The sequence below is a fragment of the Homo sapiens genome, chromosome 10 (assembly GCF_000001405.40).
Source record: "Homo sapiens chromosome 10, GRCh38.p14 Primary Assembly".
NCBI lineage: Eukaryota > Metazoa > Chordata > Mammalia > Primates > Hominidae > Homo > Homo sapiens.
This window is the reverse complement of record NC_000010.11, coordinates 73,346,445-73,366,189: the sequence shown is the minus strand read 5'-3', so window position 1 is coordinate 73,366,189 and position 19,745 is coordinate 73,346,445. Positions and strand designations below refer to the sequence as shown.

General features: G+C 40.6%; 1 protein-coding gene across 22 annotated transcripts in view, besides 4 other annotated features; it reads left to right on the top strand.

Annotated features, from left to right (window-relative positions):
- Positions 1-3,210: 3,210 nt before the first annotated feature.
- The window catches only part of CFAP70 (cilia and flagella associated protein 70), a 109,218-nt gene continuing 92,683 nt past the window's right edge, over positions 3,211-19,745 (top strand). For 11 of the 22 annotated variants that reach the window (XM_017015621.2, XM_017015624.2, XM_017015622.2 and 8 more), the window contains exons 1-6: positions 3,211-6,535; positions 7,180-7,258; positions 11,355-11,456; positions 12,448-12,634; positions 17,669-17,767; positions 17,955-18,034. In XM_017015621.2, coding sequence (XP_016871110.1) covers positions 7,232-7,258; positions 11,355-11,456; positions 12,448-12,634; positions 17,669-17,767; positions 17,955-18,034 — 495 coding nt within the window. In that variant the 5' untranslated portion in view covers positions 3,211-6,535; positions 7,180-7,231. Of the gene's footprint in view, positions 6,536-7,179; positions 7,413-7,444; positions 9,598-11,354; positions 11,457-12,447; positions 12,635-17,668; positions 17,768-17,954; positions 18,035-19,745 lie in introns of those variants that run through there. The other 11 variants (XM_047424551.1, XM_006717604.3, XM_017015627.2 and 8 more) reach the window with 11 other exon arrangements.
- Positions 7,132-7,657: an enhancer, noted in NCBI's record as "H3K27ac hESC enhancer chr10:75118291-75118816 (GRCh37/hg19 assembly coordinates)". NCBI's record gives its function as "activates a minimal SCP1, AML or CMV promoter by ChIP-STARR-seq in primed H9 embryonic stem cells {active_cell/tissue: H9 hESC(primed)}" and the evidence as "EXISTENCE:reporter gene assay evidence [ECO:0000049][PMID:30033119]".
- Positions 7,132-7,721: a biological region, named in NCBI's record as "H3K27ac hESC enhancer GRCh37_chr10:75118291-75118816".
- Positions 7,502-7,721: an enhancer, noted in NCBI's record as "active region_3560". NCBI's record gives its function as "activates an Ori minimal core promoter by ATAC-STARR-seq in GM12878 lymphoblastoid cells {active_cell/tissue: GM12878}" and the evidence as "EXISTENCE:reporter gene assay evidence [ECO:0000049][PMID:35858748]".
- Positions 7,658-8,183: an enhancer, noted in NCBI's record as "H3K27ac hESC enhancer chr10:75117765-75118290 (GRCh37/hg19 assembly coordinates)". NCBI's record gives its function as "activates a minimal SCP1, AML or CMV promoter by ChIP-STARR-seq in primed H9 embryonic stem cells {active_cell/tissue: H9 hESC(primed)}" and the evidence as "EXISTENCE:reporter gene assay evidence [ECO:0000049][PMID:30033119]".

Genomic DNA, 19,745 nt, shown 5'->3' with positions numbered 1-19,745 from the left:
AGGCTGAGGCAGGCAGATCACGAGGTCAGGAGATCGAGACCATCCTGGCTAACACAGTGAAACCCCATCTCTACTAAAAATACAAAAAATTAGCTGGGCATGGTGGCACGCGCCTGTACTCCCAGCTACTCGGGAGGCTGAGACAGGAGAATGGCGTGAACCCAGGAGGTGGATCTTGCAGTGAGCTGAGATCGCGCCACTGCACTCCAGCCTGGGTGACAGAGCGAGACTCCATCTCAGAAAAAAAAAAAAAAAAAAAGACTTAAAACATTTTAATTGATACAGTTGTACATATTTACGGGGACAGTGTAATGTTGTGATACATATACACAATATGTAATAAATTAGGGTAATTAACATATCCATCATCTCAGACATCTTTTTATGTGATGAGAAGATTCAAAATCCTCTCTTCTAGCTATTTTGAAATATGCAGTATATTACCATGAACCATAATCACCATTCAGAGCAATGGAACACCAGAACTTATTCTTCCTATCTAACTGTAACTTTGTATCCATTGACTGGCCTCTCCCTGTCCTCCCTCTTCCCTCCTCTTCCCAGCCTCTGGTAACCACTATTTATTCTCTACTTCTATTAGATCAACATTTAAGGCCAGGTGCAGTGGCTCACATCTGTAATCCATCCCAGCACTTCAGGAGGCCGACGTGGGTGGATCACTTGAAGACAGGAGTTAGAAACCAGCCTGGCTAACATGGTGAAACCCCATCTCTACTAAAAACACAAAAATTAGCCGGGTGTGATGGCTCGCGCCTGTAATCCCAGCTACTCAGGAGGCTGAGGCATGAGGATTGCTTGAACCCGGAAGGTGAAGGTTGCAGTGAGCCAAGACCTTGCCACTGCACTCCAGCCTGGATGACAGAGCGAGACTGCCTCAAAAAAAAAAAAAAATTTAGGATTCCACATATGAATAGGATCATGCAGTATTTGTCTTTCTGTGCCTGGCTTATTTCACATAACATAATGACCTCTAGGCTCATTCAAGTTGTTCCAAATGAGAGGATTTCATTCTTTTTTATGGCTGAATAGTATTCCATTGTGTAAATTTACCACATATTCATTCATCTGTTGACGGACACTTAGGTTGATTCCATATTCTGGCCATCGTGAATAGTGCTGCAATAAACATGGGTGTGCAGACATCTTTTTGACATACTGATATATCCTTTGGATATATGGGATTGTTAGATCATATGGTAGTTCTGTTTTTAATTTTTTTAGGAACCATCTACTATTTTCCACAGTGGCTGTACCAATTTACATTCTCACCAACAATGCACTGCATGATGAAGGTTCAGTCAACAACAGACTACATATATGACAGTAGTTCCATAAGATTATAACACAGCTGAAAAATTCCTATCACTTAGTACTTACTAATGCTAGATTTTTTTATCATTATTTTATACTCCATCTACTTATTGAAAAGAAGTTAACTATAAAAAGCCTAAGATAGGACCTTCAGAAGGTATTCCAGAAGGCATTGTTATAGGAGATGACAGCTCCATGTGTGTTATGCCCCTGAAGACCTTCCAGTGGGATGAGATGTGCAGGTGGAAGATAGTCATGTTGATTATCCTGAGCCTGTGTAGACTTAGGCTAATGTGTGTGTTTGTGCCTTTGTTTTTTTTAGTTTTGGAGGCAGGGTCTTGCTCTGTCACCCAGGTTGGAGTGCAGTGGTGGAATCATTGCTCACTGCAGCCTTGAACTCCTGGCCTCAAGCAATCCTCCTGCCTCAGCGTCCCAAGTAGCTGGGACTACAGGCTTTTGCCACCACACCATGCTAATTTTTAAGATTTTTGAAGAGACATGGTCTCACCATGTTACCCCAGGCTGGTAACTCCTGGACTCAAGCAGTCCTCTTACCTCAGCCTCCCAAAGTGCTGGGATTGCAGGCCAGAGCCACCACACCTGACCTGTGTCTTAGTTTTTAACAAAAAAAGGTAAAAAGTAAATAATTTATTTTATTTATTTATTTATTTATTTATTTTTTGAGACAGAGTCTTGCTCTGTCACCCAGGCTAGAGTGCAGCGGCGTGATCTCCGCTCACTGCAAGCTCCTCCTCCCAGGTTCACGCCATTCTCCTGCCTCAGCCTCCCTAGTAGCTGGGGCTACAGGTGCCCGCCACCACACCTGGCTAATTTTTTGTATTTTTAGTAGAGACGGGGTTTCACCATGTTAGCCAGATGGTCTTGATCTCCTGACCTTGTGATCCACCCACTTCAGCCTCCCAAAGTTCTGGGATTACAGGCATGAGTACACCTGTAGAAGGCCTGTAAAAAATAATTTTTTAATAAAAAGCTTATAAGGACATACAGAAAATATTTTTGTATAGCTGTAAGAGTCAAAAAGTTAAGAAGTTTAGGCTGAGTGCAGTGGCTCACGCGTGTAGTCTCAGCACTTAGGGAGGCCGAGGCAGGTGCATCACTTGAGCCCAAGAATTCAAGACCAGCCTGAGCAACATGGTGAAACCCCATCTCTACAAAAAATACAAAAAGGCAGGAGGTTTGCTTGAGCCCAAGGAGACTGAGAATGCAGTGAGCCATGATCATGCCACTGCACTCCAGCATGGGTGACAGAATGAGACCGTGTCTCCAAGGGAAAAAAAAATGTTTAGGAAGCAAAAACGTTACAGTAAGCTAAATTAAATTTATTATTAAAAAGTTTTAAAATAAATTTAGTGTAGCCTAATTATATAGTGTTTGTTAAGTCTGCAGTAGTATACAGTAATGTCCTAGGCCTTCACAATTCACTCACTACTCATTCCTTCACTCACCCAGAGCAACTTCTAGGCCAGCAAGTGCCATTCATTGTGAGTGCCTTCTACAGGTGTACTATTTATCTTTTATGCCATATTTTTACTGTACTTTTTCTATGTTTAGATACACAAGTACTTACCATTGTGTTACAATTGCCTACAGTATTCGGTATGATAACATGCCATACCTGTTTGTTGCCTAGAAGCAATAGGATATACTCTATATGACTTAGGTATGTGGCAGGCTACGCTATCTAGGTTTGTGTAGATACACTATTTGCATTTCCATCACATTTAGTGATGTTGAGCATTTTTTCATATATCTGTTGGCCATTTGTATACTTTCAAGAAATGTCTATTTAGATCTTTTGTCCATTTTAAAATCAGATTATTTGTGGGGTTTTTTTTTTGGATTTTTTTTTTTTTTTTGGTGTTGAGTTTCTTATATACTCTGGACATTAACCCCTTGTCAGATGCATAGTTTGTAAATAAAGACCATGTATGACAGACACACAGCTAACATACTGAATGAGGACACGTTGAAAGCTTTTTCTCTAAAATCTGGAACAAGACAAGGATAGCCACTTTCACTACTTCTAGTCAACATAGTACTGGAAGTCCTAGCCACAGTAATTATGCAAGAGAAAGAAACAAAGGGCATCTAAATTGGAAAGAAAGAAGTCAAACTTCCTGTCTGCAGATGACATGAATTTATACACACAAAACCCTAAAGATTCCACCAAAAAACTGCTAGAAGTAATAAATTCAGTAAAGTTGCAGGATACAAAAGCAACATACAAAAATCAGTAGCATTTCTATATGCCAATAGTGAACTATCTGAAAAAGAAAACAGCAATCCCATTCACAATTGCTACAAAAAACAAAACAAAAACCCTAGGAAGTTTTAACCAAGTAGGCAAAAGATCTCTACAATGAAAACTACAAAACATTGATGAAAGAAACTGAAGACACAAATAGTATCCTATGTTCATGGATTAGAATAATTAACATTATTAAAATGTTCATACTTCCCAAAGTGCTCCACAGATTCAACACAATCTCTATCAATATTGCAATGACATTCTTCACAGAAATAGAAAACCCTCAAATTTATAGTTTTAGTTCTTACATTTAGGTCTTTGGTCCATTTTGAGTTATTTTTTGTATATGGTGTGAGGTAAGGGTCCAACTTCATTCTTTGCATGTGGACATTGTTTTTCCTTGTACCATTTGTTTAAAAGACTATATTACCCCCTCCCTCCCACATCCCAGTAGATCATCTTGGCACTCTTGTTAAAAATCAGTTGACCGTAAATGTAAGAGTTTATTTCTGAACTCTCAATTCAATTGATTATTTTGATCTATATGGCTATCTTTATGTCTTTATTACTGTCTTCGTTACTTGATTACTGCAGCTTTGTAGAAAGTTTTGAAATTGGGAAGTGTGAGTTTTCCAACTGTTCTTCTGTTTCAGGATTGTTTTGGCTACTCTGGGTCCCTTGCATTTCCATATGAATTTTAAGATCAGCTTGTTAATTTCTGAAAGAAAAAAAAAACAGTTGGGGTTTTCATAGTGATTGCTTTCAATCTGTAGATCAATTTGGGGATGAGCAATACATTTGATTGTATTATTGTCAGAAATATGTTGACTTTGGAAGTAACAAATTAGCTAATTAGAAACAAGTCTTTTGGAGTAATGAGAAAGGAATTTGTTGAGCTAGTGCATCATTTAATGGAGGCCTTTGAAACTCAGACTAAGGCATTCAAATTTTATTAGAAAGATATTTTTATAGTTTTTTTCCCTGAAATTGGTTTGCATATGTAGATGATTTTATTATGATTCCAGTACTATTATATTTTCCATACCACTAAAGAGGGCTTTTTCCATACACAAGTGGATGTTTTAAATCAGTCAAAAAGAATGCCTTTCAAACAGAGTGGCCACTGCTAAGCACTGTAGGAGAATAAAAGAACTGTAACACACACACACACGGGAGGCTGAGGTGGGAGGGTCACTTGAACCCGGGAGGCAGAGGTTGCAGTGAGCCGAGATCATATCATGCCACTGAACTCCAGAGCAAGACTGTCTCAATAAAGAAAAAAAAAAAAAAAAAAAGGCCGGGCATGGTGGTTCATGCCTGTAATCCCAGCACTTTAGGCGGCTGAGACAGGTGGATCACCTGAGGTTAGGAGTTCAAGACCAGCCTGGCCAACATGGCCCTGTCTCTACTAAAAATACAAAAATTAGCCGGGCGTGGTGATGGGTGCCTGTAATCACATCTACTCCAGTGGCTGAGGCACAAGAATCACTTGACCACAGGAGGTGGAGGTTGCAGTGAACCCAGATTGCGCCACGGCACTCCAGCCTGGGCTACAGAGTGAGACTCCATCTTAAAAAAAAAAAAAAAGAAAATTGTAACATACAGCCCTTGCTCTCAGGTACCCTAAAGTTGAATGGAGATTAATTATGTTTAAGGAGGTGACATCTGTTATTTATCCTTGCTTGCCTAAGACCTTGAAGCAAAGTACTAAGTAGACCAAGATCATGAGCGATTTCTGGAAGAACAGCTCCCTATTAAAGACTTGGCCTAACCCAGCTTATTATGTAGAAAGAGTCTGTCATTTGCAAGTGGGATAGCTGTCTCAGTGCAAATTCACCCAAAACTCTCACTTGGGAAAAAAAATCCAGAGAGAAATCCTTACTCAGTAGTGCCACAGTAGTTTTATTTTGAGAACCTTTATTACCTGTAACACTGCAACTTTCAAAAAATATTTCTCAATATTTATAATGTTTCTTTATTCATATAAATAAAAATTTTAAAATTTGACTCTGGTAACTATTTCCTAAGCAAAGGGCTTCCCAGGGAGAGTGGTTATGCGTGTGTATATATTTTAATTGTTTTGAAATGATCTCGAATGTATAGAAAAGTTGCCCAAATCGTGTAAGGAAGTCCCATGTCCCCTGCACTCAGATTCCCAAATAGTTAACACTTTATTGCACTTGTTCCATTGCTCACTGTGTGTGTATGTGTGCAGGTGTGCATGCATGTGCATATGTGTGTGTACATGTGTATGTATCCCTTGTTAGTCTTTTTCTGGACCTTTTGAAAGTCAAGAGAGCAAATTGAAGAGATGGTGTCTCATCACTCCTAAACACACTAGTGTTTATTTTCCCCTAAACAGGGACACTCTCCTACCTAACAACAAACAAACTTCCACATCAGGAAATCAATATTGGTACAACACTACCATCCAATTCAGATGAGATTGGGCATGTTCGGGGTGGTATGCGATTCACAGAGCTAATTCACATTTTTCCCACCGTCCTAACAATGTTGTTTTCCTTTCTGGTCCAGAATGCTATACAGAGATACATATTGAATTTAGTTGTCATATAACCTCAGTCAGAGACAGTTCCCAGTCTTTCTTGTCCTTGGATGGTCTACAACCTGAGTTCCTTTCATGGTAGGAAAACCAAAAAGGATGCTTTGTGTGTGTGTGTGTGTTTTTTTTTAGTGTGTTTCACCAGGAGGCTCACAATGTAGACTCCTCCCAACACTGGTGATGTTAACCATGATCACCTGATCATGTTGGTTGCGTCCATTCACTGTTTCCCCCTCTGTAATCAAGTAGTATTCCATGGAAGCATTCCAAAATCACGCCAGTATTCTATGCCTCATAGAACATCTACCCACCAGCCTTAGCGTCCATTGAAGACTCCTGCCTGAGTCATCCTCCTCAGTAGTTGTCAAATGGTAGTTCTCTATTTCCATCCTTCTCGCTACACTTCTGGGTTGGCATCCTACTTTGAAAGAGTTTTCCTTTTTCTCTGTATCAACACGGACTTGCATATTCCTATTTTATTCAATGGGTTGTAATCCGTTATCGTCGTTGTTTACTTCATGCTCAAATTGTCCCTTATTTGGCCCATGGGAGTCCCTTCAAGCTGGCTCTTAACACTGCAACAATTTAAAGTATATATACTGCTAAAATTCATCCGTGTTGTGTGTATGGCTGCAGTTCATTAACTTTGACTGCTTGTAATATGCCATTTTGTGAATATGCCACAGTTTATTGGTCCACTCATCCACTATTCCTTCGACGGGCACTTGGGTTGTTTCCAGGTTATTGCTATTGTGTTTTGCTATTCTAGCTCTTTAATGTTAAATTTTGAATATTAAAAATTTGTATTAACATCATAAACTTCAGGTCTGTTTATTGTACAAATATTGAGCACCTAGAAGCAGGGTCATTTTGCACTCTCATCAACAGGGCGTGACGGGCTCATTTAAAAAATATTGCATATTTCACGGAGAAATATTTAAATGATGTTTTCAAATCAGTTTAATAAAGGCCTTTTTCTTTAAACTTCCTTTTGCTTTTTTCCCTCCTATTATAGAGAAATATTGAAATCAAAGAGTCGAGAAAGCAAAATGTAAAGGTGGAAACCTATGCACTTAAACCCAACTCTTGGCAAGGTAAAGCATCCGCGGAAACAGCAGGCTCTCGAAGTGAGGAGGCTGCAGCCGGCGCTAGGGCGCAGGCGCAGAAGCTCAGCGTCTCGCTCCCTGCTCCCGGCCCCAGAGGGTTATCGCGAGTCTTGGAATAAACTTGCTCGTGCGATGGCCAAAAGTAAGTTCTCGCGAGAGGTAGTTGGTTGCTATAGTTGTCAAAAACATAACTGAGGCTGCTGCAGGTAAGACAGTGATCCCTCCTGAAGAAACTCTCTCTTCCCGGCCTCCCCACCTCAGCCCTGCGGCCACACCACAGCCGTCACCCCGATCTTCTGCTCCCTTAGCTAAGGCCAGGCTGAAAACCCCGATATTTAGACCGAAAAGCCGCTGGCCCGGCCAGGTGCGGACTCTGCCGCCAACCCCAGCCCGGCGACCTCCACAGGAGCGCGGACGTAGACCTTCCTTTACCGCTTCTCGTCGGAGGCCTCCTCATTCTGCGCTGACTGCGCTTGTCCCCAGACCAGACTCAGTCACATCGCCTCCTTCGTCTAACCTTTTTCTCACTGGACTCTCCCCTTGCAGCTTCTTCCGAGCAGATGACAAGAAATGCGTGCCTTGCCGGGGGCAACAAGAGTCCCCACCCTAGCTGCCCTGACTATAACTTTAGTCCTATATCTTGCATTCATAATTCAAACACGACGCGAACGCCTGTTGTGTACAAGACATGGTGCCAGGCACTCTGGGCCCGTAAATATGCGTGAGACAGGTTACATGCCTTCAAGGGTGTAAATGAGCTCTCAGGACAAACGCTGCATATTAATAATACCATTTGTGCAGTGCTTCATACTTAAAAAGCTTTAATATCTTAGGGGATATTCACAATAAATGTGAAACAGGTTGGAAGTTATCCATTTTACAGAAGGTGAAACTGAGGCTTAGAGAAGTTAGGCATTTGCCTAGGGGCACATAGTTGTTAAGTAGGAAAGGTCTTTTGAATACCCAGTCTTCATAAACAGGACAGCTTGTGGTAATGCCACAAAAGACGTGTAAAGTGCTAAATGAATTCAGAGGAAAGGCAAGTTTTTCCGACTGGGAAGCTTCATGGACTAGGAAGCATTTGAGCTGGATTTTAAAGGATGAGTAGGATTTGCTGTAGAGACGGAGTGAGGAGAAAGGGAGAGATAATTCCAGGGGGAAGGAAAAATGCAAAGGTTCAAAAGCGACTAAATGCAGGTAATCTTTGAAAAATACTAAGCAAGAGCATAAGCTAGAAGAGGGGAGTTGACTGGCACTGCAAGATCCTAGAAAGCCCTGAATGTAGTACTACATTTAACTACAGTTAAACTGTAGTGTTACAGTTTATTTGGTAGGTGAGAGGGAACAAGACAGTGATACGATCAGATCTGTACTTTAATAAGGTATTTATCTGCTTGTCTCTTCTCATTTTCTCCCTATTTCTTCTTACTCCACCACTGCAAGCTACTTGCTACTTGCTATGTGTGTTGTTTTGCCTCTGAACGTTTTAAAATCTGTTCCCTTTCTTGGAATATCCTTCCCTTTATTAAGACATAGTTCCAGCGTACTTCCTCCAAGATTTTCCTGGCATGCATATGTATTCTCAAATCCAGCTAGGTCCCAGCTTCATTCAGCACTTCCTTGCTGTATGACTGCTGGTAAGATAACAAACTTCTCTGAAGCTCAATTTTTTTCAATCAAATAGAGATTTAAGAATCTCTTAGAAGGGAGGCTACATTTAAGATAATAAATGCGAAGCACACTTGGCACACTGGCTATAATCAGTTAATTTCCTTGCTTCTCTCATTCTTTTTATTTGTAAAAGAAAAAATAAATTTCCACCCCCCTTTTCCTCCCTGTGTGTTTCACTCCTCCCTTCTTTCCTCTGTCAGAGCACCTGTCTCACAGATTATGACTCCTGGTCTAGTTACACGTCTCTCGTCCTCACTAGATTTTAAATTTCTTGAGGTTAGAGAGTTCACATCTTATCTCTTGTATCCTCAGCACCCATCACAGTGCCAAGCTTAACAAGTTTTTTCAATGAGCAATTCTGACAAAAGCAGGATGAATTAGAGTGAGAAACTGGAGTCAGAGACACCAGTTAGGAGGCTTTTGTTACAGTCTAGCAGAAGGGTAATGAAGGCCTAATGCCATATTATTGAAAAGGAAAGAAGACTGATACAAAAGGGCATTTCAAATGTACATTTGACAAAGAAGTTGTCAGTGCCACTAAAGCCCTTAAAGAGCCCAGAAATATGTTGTTGAACAAATGATTTGACACTTTTAGGTGACTGGAAAAATGCTGGAGTAGCTGAGAAGAGGCAGGATAATTATAAAGTCTGAAGGCTGTAAGATGTTGTTTTCTCTTTTGTATCACCAAGTACACTTAGCATAGTATGTCCTCAGTAAATGTTTGAATTGAGTTAGAAAATAAGGCCTTTTCAACAGGCACAGTGGCTCATGCCTTTTAATCCCAGCACTTTGGGAGGCTGAGGTGAGTGGATTGCTTGAGCCTAGCCGTCGAGACCAGCCTAGACAGCATGGTGAAACCCTGTCTCTACAAAAAATACAAAAATTAGCTGGGCGTGGTGGCGCATGCCTGTAGTCCCAGCTACTCAGGAGGCTGAGGTGGGACAATCACTTGAGCCTGGGAGGTTGAAGCTGCAGTGAGCTGTGATCACACCACTGCACTCCAGCCTGGGTGACAGAATGAGAGCCTGAAAAAAAAAAAAAGGAAGGAAGGAGAGATAAAAGACCTTTTCCAAAAAACAAATATCCAATTTATTATCGAAATTGTTTGTGCCCTTAGTATTGTAAAATTGACAGTATATCTGACTAAATAAGAAATACATTAAGACCTTTTCCAGTGGACTACCATTTTGTGTGGCTGCTTCTTTCCTGCTCTCAAAATATATTTTTGTAAAACTGAGAAGTTAAATAATGTTTGAAGGGAGCTTTGCAGATTAAAAAAAACGGTTACCAGAGAACACTGTGAACAGTGTATGGCAGCAGTCCCCAACCTTTTTGGCACCAGGGACCAGTTTCGTGGAAGACAATTTTTCCACAGACTGGGGGCAGCGGGGATGATTCAACCACATTACATTTACTGTGCACTTTATTTCTATTAGTATTACACGGTAATATATAATGAAATTTTTTTGTTTTGAGACGGAGTCACTCTTTTGCCCAGGCTGGAGTTCAGTGGTGTGATCTCAGCTCACTGCAACCTCTGCCTGCCGTGTTCAAGCGATTCTCCTGCCTCAGCCTCCCAAGTAGCTGGGACTTACAGGCATGTGCCATCACACCTGGCTAATTTTTGAATTTTTTAGTAGAGATGGGGTTTCACCGTATTGGACAGGCTGATCTCGAACTCCTGACTTGGTGATCCGCCCGCCTCGCCTTCCAAAGTGTTGGGATTACAGGCGTGAGCCACCGTGCCTAGCCTATATAATGAAATATTATACAACTCACCATAATGTAGAATCAGTGGGAGCCCTGAGCTTGTTTTCCTGCAGCTAGACAGTCCTATCTGGGGGTGATGGGAGACAGTGACAAATCAGGCATTCGATTCTTATAAGGAGTGCACAACCTAGATCCTTTGCATGCATCAGTTACAATAGGGTTCGCACTCCTGTGAGAATATAATGCTGCCACTGATCTGACAGGAGAGAGAGCTTAGGTGGTAATGCAGGTGATGCAGAGTGGCTGTAAATAGAGATGAAGCTTTGCTTGCTCGCCTGCTGCTTACCTCCTGCTGTACAGCCCAGTTCCTGACAGGCCACGGGCTGGTACTGGTTCATGGTTCGGGGTGGGGACCCCTGATGTAGGGTATGGGAGGTCAAGGTGTTCCTACTTTGTCTTGTGATACTTTGTGCTTAATGGGTTAGTTACCTGTATAAACATCTTTAGCGCTACCAGTGAAATCATCCTTGTGACCAGCTCCCTAAAGCACTGCCTGTCCAACAGCAAAGGTTGGATATGGGGAATAAAACAGTGCTGGACTATGGCATTTCCTTAGGTTTTCCCTGGTATTGGTTATGATGGAATATGGGTACTTGTGCAGCTGTGGTACATGAGGGGACAGGTTGATTCATTCTGTTTACAGAGACCAAAGAAAACAGAGGGACTTTTCCCAGTTGGTGATATGGAGCAAGTGCCATCAGCAGGCAGACTCGTGCAGATCACCGTGACAGAGGGATATGATTTGGTAAAGTTACTTTTGGAAATTTACAAAAATCCTTAGTTTGGGAGTACCTGCAGGAGGAATGGAATTTTGCTTCATTCTCTACCTCCAAACCTCCTGGCTTTATGTAGCAGTGGCATTCCGCCTCAGTGTTCCTTATTGTTAGTCTTAATCTCCAAGTCACATTACTGTGTGTCTCAAATACCCGGCAATTTGAATACTAAATTTAACAGGATGAAAGAAACAGTGGTTTTAGTTTCCCTAGACAGCAGTTCACGTATAATTTTTTTCCCTTTCTCCTGAGAAGGATCTGAATTCTTCCAGAGTTTCCCTTGTGATTAATTCTATTTGATTAATTAAAAAAACAACAACAATGTGATGTACTAAAAATTAGGAATATGATGAAATGGGAAAATATTCAGTATATTAAGTTTAAAAAGATCATTCCAAAGAGGATGTAATTAATGAGCTCCACTTTGTTTTAAAATGCATATATAAAAATGTATCTATGTGTGCATGTATGGGTACACACACGTACATCCATATATTCACAGCAGAACACTAGAAAATATATTCTAAAATATTAATAATGCTTGCATGTTACAGTAAGATTGTAGGTAATTAATTTTCTTACTTTTAAAAATGTTCCTCAGTAGCTTGCAGTGAGCTGAGATCGCGCCACTGCACTCCAGCCTGGGTGACAGAGCGAGACTCCGTCTCAAAACAAACAAACAAACAGAAAAAAAAATGTTCCACAGTATACTTTTATTATTAGGTGAAACACAATAAATGTTATTTTCAAGACTCCAACATAACAGCACTTCAATGGAATGTTGCATTTAAGTAAAACTAGATTTGTTTAATGATTTTTCTACCTATTCCTTTTGTATTTGTGATGTTGCTCGTTAGGAAAAAATGAAAAATGCTATTTAGCCCAAATCAAAATGGGTTACCAGATGTGTGGGAAAATTCTCTATTTGAATATAATTGTAAAGTGGTGTGTTTCTGCCAACAGAAAGGTTTTAAAGGAGATACTCCAGTTACCTTTATTCGAGCAGAATTCAATCAAGTGGTTCTGGGAGACTCTGCAAAAATTACTGTTTCTCCAGAAGGAAGTGCAAAATACAACTTCACTAGCAGTTTTGAGTTTAATCCTGAAGGAGGAATCACTTCAGATGACCTCGCTCACAAACCTGTGTTCTGTAAGTCCTTGTGGTTCTAAAAATCAATGTCCCGATTGCCTTCTTCCCTATCATGTTGGATGGGAAAAGCACAACCAAAACATTCTTTTAAACATGTAACTAAAATCATGAGAAAGAAAGGACAGTTCCTTTGTTCCCAGAAGCAAGGCAGGAACTGAAACGTGAAAATCTTGAACAGCTGCCATTGGTGTGTATGTGTTAGTGGAAGTGTGCAGGGAGAAGGCAGTACTCCAAAACCTAGGGGCTTGGGTTTTAATGCTCTCACAAGGACAGAAAACCTTTGGCTGTTGTTGATGGGGGAATAGAGACTGAGATCACCTCCCCATCACAAGTTAAGACTCTCAGAAAGTATGGACCAGGAAAATAAAATCTGCTTATCAGCATCTCTGTCTAGATCCTGGGTAGAGAAAAAAGTCTTCCCTAGGAATAATCATAGGCTTGTACTAACCATTAAAGAATATATATATTTTTAAAACACAGGAGGAGCATTTTTATGATAGCAATTGGCCACATTCTAAGCGATAAAGCAAGTCCTACCATAGATCAAAGGATCAACAGCATACAGACCACCTTTTCTGCCAAAATGTAACAATCAACAAAATTAGAAATCAATAACAAAAAGCCAAAAAGCTATTTGGAAATTTAAAAACATACTTATGAATCATTCATGGGACAAATAAAAAAGTCATAATAAAAATTGCAAAGCATTTGGAAGAGATCAACAGTAAAACACCAAATATCAGAATTTGTGGGATATAGTTAAAGGTGTACTTAGAGGTACATTTATAATCTTAAGCGCATTAATTAGAAATAAAAAGGATTAAAAGCAGAACTTTTGAGAAGATGGAATAGATGTACTTTTCTCTATTCCTCCCACTGAGTACAACTACAAACCCTGGACATTATATATAAAACAAACATAAGAGACTCTGAAAGGTGGAGAGAAGGAAACTTGGGACCTGGGGAATGACACAGTGGTGAGTTCTTTGGGTTTTCTTTTTGCCTTATATATCCCATACTTCTTGCTGAAGAAGGTGGCAACCTGGAGACACCAATGGGCACAGACCAAAAAAAAGAAAAAAGAAAGAAAGCCTGATAAAAGTCTGCTCTGTTTAGCCAAAAGACTATGAAAGCGGCAGCCTAATAAGACAGAAAAGTTTTAGACAGTAATTCCCGTACTCCAGCCAAACACCGTAGGAAAAAAACCCCCACCCTCAATCAAGCTGAGTGGAGAGCCTAGACTTCCACTCTCACAAAGCTCAAAAATGAGGTTCTCCATTACCCTAGTGATGTCAGAGAAGACCAAGTAGGGAACCAGGGCTTTTATCCCCTCTAGTAATGAGTCCCCTTCCCACCCCTCATAATGTTAGTGGAGACCACATGGATCTTGGACTTCTATCCCAAACTGTCAGCAGCAAGGTGTCCCTTCACTTCCCACTGGAGTGGTGTCAGAGGAGGCCTAGTTTAGAGTCAGAACTTTCACCATCACCCAAGGGTAATGAGTCCACACCCACTGTGGTATCAGTGGAAACCAAGTAAGGAATCAGGACTCCAATTCCCCTGCTCAGCAGTAATGAGGAGCTGCCTCCATCAGGTGTCAGAGGAGGCTGAGTAGGGAACCTAGACTTCCACCCCAACTTGTCAGTAATGAGGCAGCATCTCCTTCCTTCCCCTTTTGGGGTGGTGTTGGAAAAAGCCAGCTGAAAACAGAAGGTGTAAGTAAGATCCAGAGATTCATAACAATAGGAAAAGTCCAGGTTTCAACTTAAAACCATAAGTCATTCCAAAAACTGGAAGATCTCAAATTGAATTAAAAAACATAATGGGCTGGGCACAGTGGCTCAAGCCTGTAATCCCAGAACTTTGGGAGGCTGAGATGCGTGGATCACAAGGTCAGGAGTTCAAGACCAGCCTGGTCAAGATGGCAAAACCCCGTCTCTACTAAAAATACAAATATTAGCCAGGCGTGGTGGAGCCTGCCTGTAGTCCCAGTTACTCAGGAGACTGAGGCAGGAGAATCACTTAACCTGAGAGGTGGAGGTTACAGTGAGCCGAGATCATACCACTGCACTCCAGCCTGAGTGACACAGTGAGACTTTCTCTCAAAAAACAAAAACAAAAACAAACAAAAAAACAATGACTGGGTGCAGTGGCTCACGCCTGTAATCCCAGCACTTTGGGAGGCCAAGGCGGGCAGATCACGAGGTCAGGAGATCGAGACCATCCTGGCTAACACGGTGAAACCCCGTCTCAAGTAAAAATACAAAAAATTAGCTGGGTGTGGTGGCGGGCACCTGTAGTCCCAGCTACTCAGGAGGCTGAGGCAGGAGAATGGCGAGAACCCAGGAGGCGGAGCTTGCAGTGAGCTGAGACTGCGCCACTGCACTCCAGCCTGGGTGACAAAGCAAGACTCCGTCTCACAAAAAAAAAAAACAAAACATACATATATATATATATATATATATATATATATATATATATATACACACACACACACACACACACACACATATATACACACATATACACATATATATACACACACATACACACATATACACACATATATATACACACACACATACATATACACACACATACACACACACACACATATATACACACAAATTAGCTGGGTATGGTGGTGAGCACTTGTAGCCCTAGCTACTCCAGAGGCTGAGGTGGGAGAATCACTTGAGCCCTCGAGGCAGGGGTTGCAGTGAGCTGAGAGCGCACCACTGCCTTCCAGCCCAGGTGACAGAGTGAGACCTGGTCTTGAAAAACAAACAAACAAACCAAAATAAATACCACCTGGATAAAATGTGTGTAAAAAATTAAATCATGTAAGTACCATAAGAAATCATGGAATTAAAATAATCAGAGAGAGGAAGCCTTTATAAGTATTTCACAACTGTAGAAACCACAGAAAAAAAATATATATATATTCATTAGCAACTGTAAAAGACAAGCCACAAACTGGAATACAATTTGCAATTCATTTCTAGACAGAAGGCAAATTTACCTTTAAAGAGCACTTGCATATTAATAAGAGCAAGAATCTAATGGAAAAGTATACAAAACATATGAAAGGAATATGAAAAGTTCATGGAAAAGAAACTGTAACTGGTCCTTAAGTATATGGAAAAAATTTCAACCTCATTCTAATACAAAAAATAAAATTATGTTTAGATGCTATTTTCATCTGTCAGGTTACAAAGGTCACAGAGTTTGATAACATATCAAACCCTGTTATCCTTGCTGAAAATGCTGAAGCTGAACCCAAGTAGGAACACAGGAATTGAGAAACAAATTAAATACTATGAGGAATAAAACAAGAGACAAATCTAGAAGGTGTGACATTCTATGTAACTATTGGCCTGGTGTCTTCAACAAAAGAGAGAAGTGTTTGAGAGAAGTATGTGGAAAGGGGGGACTGTTCTAAATGAAAAGAAACATGACAACCAAATGCAATATGTGGTCTTTGAACAGACCAGCTACAAAATAAATTTGGGGATAATTGGGAAATGTTAAATATAAACTGGACACTAGGTGAATTAAGGAATTATTTAATGCTATTATCACACACTTGCTAGATGTGGTAAACTGATTGTGGTTTTCTAGGAAAATGTCTTACTTGGGATTTGTATACTTTGGTATTTAGGAGTAAAATGTCATGATGTCTGTAATTTATTTGAAAAGTACTTCAGCAAACAAAGCAAATATGATAAAAGTATTTGAGCAAACAAAGCTACACATGATGAAGCAAAAAAATTGTTAAATTTAGATTATGGTTATATGGATAGTTGTTATACTATTCTACTTTGTGTATTTGAAATTTTGAAATTGTTATAATAAGTGTTAAGCACACAGAGTAATGCTGCAGTGAAAAACCTTGTACATACTCTGCATGCTACAGGATTACTCCAAAATGTGTCAAGCCTTATGGTAGGCAATATAGGGGGATCTAGAGCAGTGCTTTTCTTTGCTTTTTTCTTTTTCTTTTTTTTTTTTTTGAGACGGAGTCTCGCTCTGTCGCCCAGGCTGTAATGCAGTGGCACAGTCTCGGCTCACTGCAAGCTCCACCTCCTGGGTTCACGCCATTCTCCTGCCTCAGCCTCTTGAGTAGTTGGGACTACAGGTGCCCGCCACCACGCCTGGCTAATTTTGTTGTTGTATTTTTAGTAGAGATGGGGTTTCATTGTGTTAGCCAGGATGGTCTCGATCTCCTGACCTCGTGATCTGCCCGCCTCAGCTTCCCAAAGTGCTGGGATTACAGGCATAAGCCACCTCGCCCACCCTAGAGCAGTGTTTTTCAAACTTCAGATTGTGACTTTTTAGCCATTCTTAAGATCAATTGATGGGCATTATGACCAGTAAGTTCTTCTGTATGAAATAGAATAGAAAATACCTAAGGATTTTGACCTAGTAAAGATTAATATTATATGAAGCTTTGTTATATAATCATATGTATCAGTTACTTTTTTTTTTTTTTTTGAGACGGAGTTTCCCTCTTGTTGCCCAGGCTGGGTGCAATGGCTTGATCTCAGCTCACTGCAACCTCTGCCTCCCAGGTTCAAGCGATTCTCCTGCCTCGGTCTCCCGAGTAGCTGGGATTACAGGCATGGGCCACTATGCCTGGCTAATTTTGTATTTTTAGTAGAGGCAGGTTTTCTCCGTGTTTGTCAGGGTGGTCTCGAACTCCCAACCTCAGGTGATCTGCCCGCCTTGGCCTCCCAAAGTACTGGGATTACAGGTGTGAGCCACCACGCCCAGCCTCAGTTACTTTTATACACATGCATGTACATGATGATGATCTAAAACCCATTTCTTATTATAACTTGCAGGCAAAAAGTTCAAAAGTCACTGAAGTGGTCCAGTATTTTCCACCAGAAGTCAGTGATGTTGGTGCCTTCTGTACTTTCAAGTTTATTTTTTTTTAACTTACATATCTTTGACAATGCTTTGTTTGTTGCAGCTTGGTTATCGGATAGATGTGTTTTAAATGTCTCATTTTCTTTGTTTTGATTTTTCTAGTAACTGTGACTGAAGTTTTACCAAAGGAAAAGAAACAGAAAGAAGAGAAGACCTTAATTCTTGGTCAGGCTGTGGTGGACCTTCTTCCCTTACTGGAAGGTCAGATGTGTGCTTTGCCCAAAAGCAGAAATGGAAAAGCTCATAAAACTTAGCCCCAGAGAGATATAGAAATTAGCCTCAATGAATTTGAGGGATTTGAGGGGAAAAGTAGGCACATTTATCTCTGCCTGCAGTCATCCCAACTTAACCCTTTCTTCTTTGGCTCAACTTGGGCTTCTTTTTGCAGGACAGAGTTCATTTCAAACAACAGTTCCATTGCACCCTGTGCAAGGCTCACCCTTAGAAACTCCTAGATCAAGTGCTAAGGTAATCAGAGTTTTAGCTCTCAACATTTCAGCCTGCCATTCAATGTAACAATTCTGTCTGCTATTAAGGTTCAATTCAGTTGAGTGTAATGCATTGGGCATTTTCTTTTCACAGCACACTTAGTGTTAGATTCTGGGAAACAAAGATAATAAGGCAGAGTCCTACTTTGAAAAGCCCACAGTCTACATATCATAGACTATAACCCAGTGTGATTAAATGGTGGAGTGAGGCACATGGGCATAGAGCAGGTATCAGTTACTTTGTCCGCAGGTAGAGGCAAGGAAGGCTTAACCATGGAAATAACTCTTGAGCTATGTCCTGATGGCTCAAGTAGTATATGAAAGCACCTCATATACTTTAGGGCATGGTAGCATGCCTCTCACTGAAAATTTCTAATCCAGCAGTTCTAGCCCAGACCCCTTTCTGGAGTTCTAGAATATCAGACTTTATAAGCACCTACTGTATACCTCTATAATGTTATCCCATAGGCACCTAAAACTCAACATTCCAAAACTGAACTCAGTATCTTCCCTGAAACCTATTCTTCCTTTTATCTTAGTTTTTTGACTAGTGGCATCACCCATCCATGAAATCATGGAACATAGAACCTAAATTATATCCATGACATATATATATTCCTTCAGACCCTAACTACAACCAGTCCTCAAATCTGCCTTTCACCAAATCCCACCTTTTCTATCTTCTAAGTGTCTTTAGGTTTTCTTTTTGGCTTCATTCCTACTCTTTATTGCCTTATTACCTCTCACTTGGATAGTTACAAATAGCCTCGTACCTACCTTTACCTCCCTCTAGTTCAACCTTCCCATGGCTTGCACAGTGATTTAAAAGTGAATCTGATCTTATCTCTTCCCCTACTTAGTACTCTGTAGTTCATGGATTCACCCACTGCTTACAAGTTAAGGTCCAGATTGCTTAGCAGGCATATAGCATCCTTTATAATGGAGGCCTCCCCCTTCAACCTCATCTCCCATTACTCCTTTCCTTATATTAATACTTCAAGTTCCAGAATCCTGACTTACTTACATATACCTAAATGGAAGATACCATACTGTTCCAATCCCTCTTTACATAGACTGTTTTTCCCCTCTAAGACTAGTTAAGCACAGTAGTGAGAAGTGGGGAAAGAATAGAACAAAGAATTTGATCTGTAACTGACTGTGAACAGTCAGTTGAGATAACTCACTGCCTTTGGACCAGCCCACAAAAACTGTTCTTATCCAGAATTATTTTTTCTTTCCTTCCTCTGCTAATCCAGGTTGTAAATGCCTATTTATCCTATAAATGTCAACCCCCAGCCAAATAATTAGTTATTCACTGCCTCCTTGGTGTCCTTGACTGCAGCATTTTGTACAGGTCTCTAGTATAGATTTTGCATAAATCTTGACACTATGACATGAGTTCTATGTTGAAAGGAACTATGTCTTCTTTGTCTTTATATCCCTAGTGATATAGCAAAGTGCCTAGCATTCAATACACATTCTTTTTTTTTTTGAGATGGAGTTTTGCCCTTGTTGCCCAGCCTGGTTTGCAATTGTGTGATCTCGGCTCACTGCAACCTCCACTTCATGAGTTCAAGCGATTCTCCTGCCTCAGCCTATCAAGTACCTGAGATTACAGGCACCACCACCATGCCCGGCTAATTTTTATACATTTTCTCTTTTAGTAGAGATGGGGTTTCACCATGTTGGCC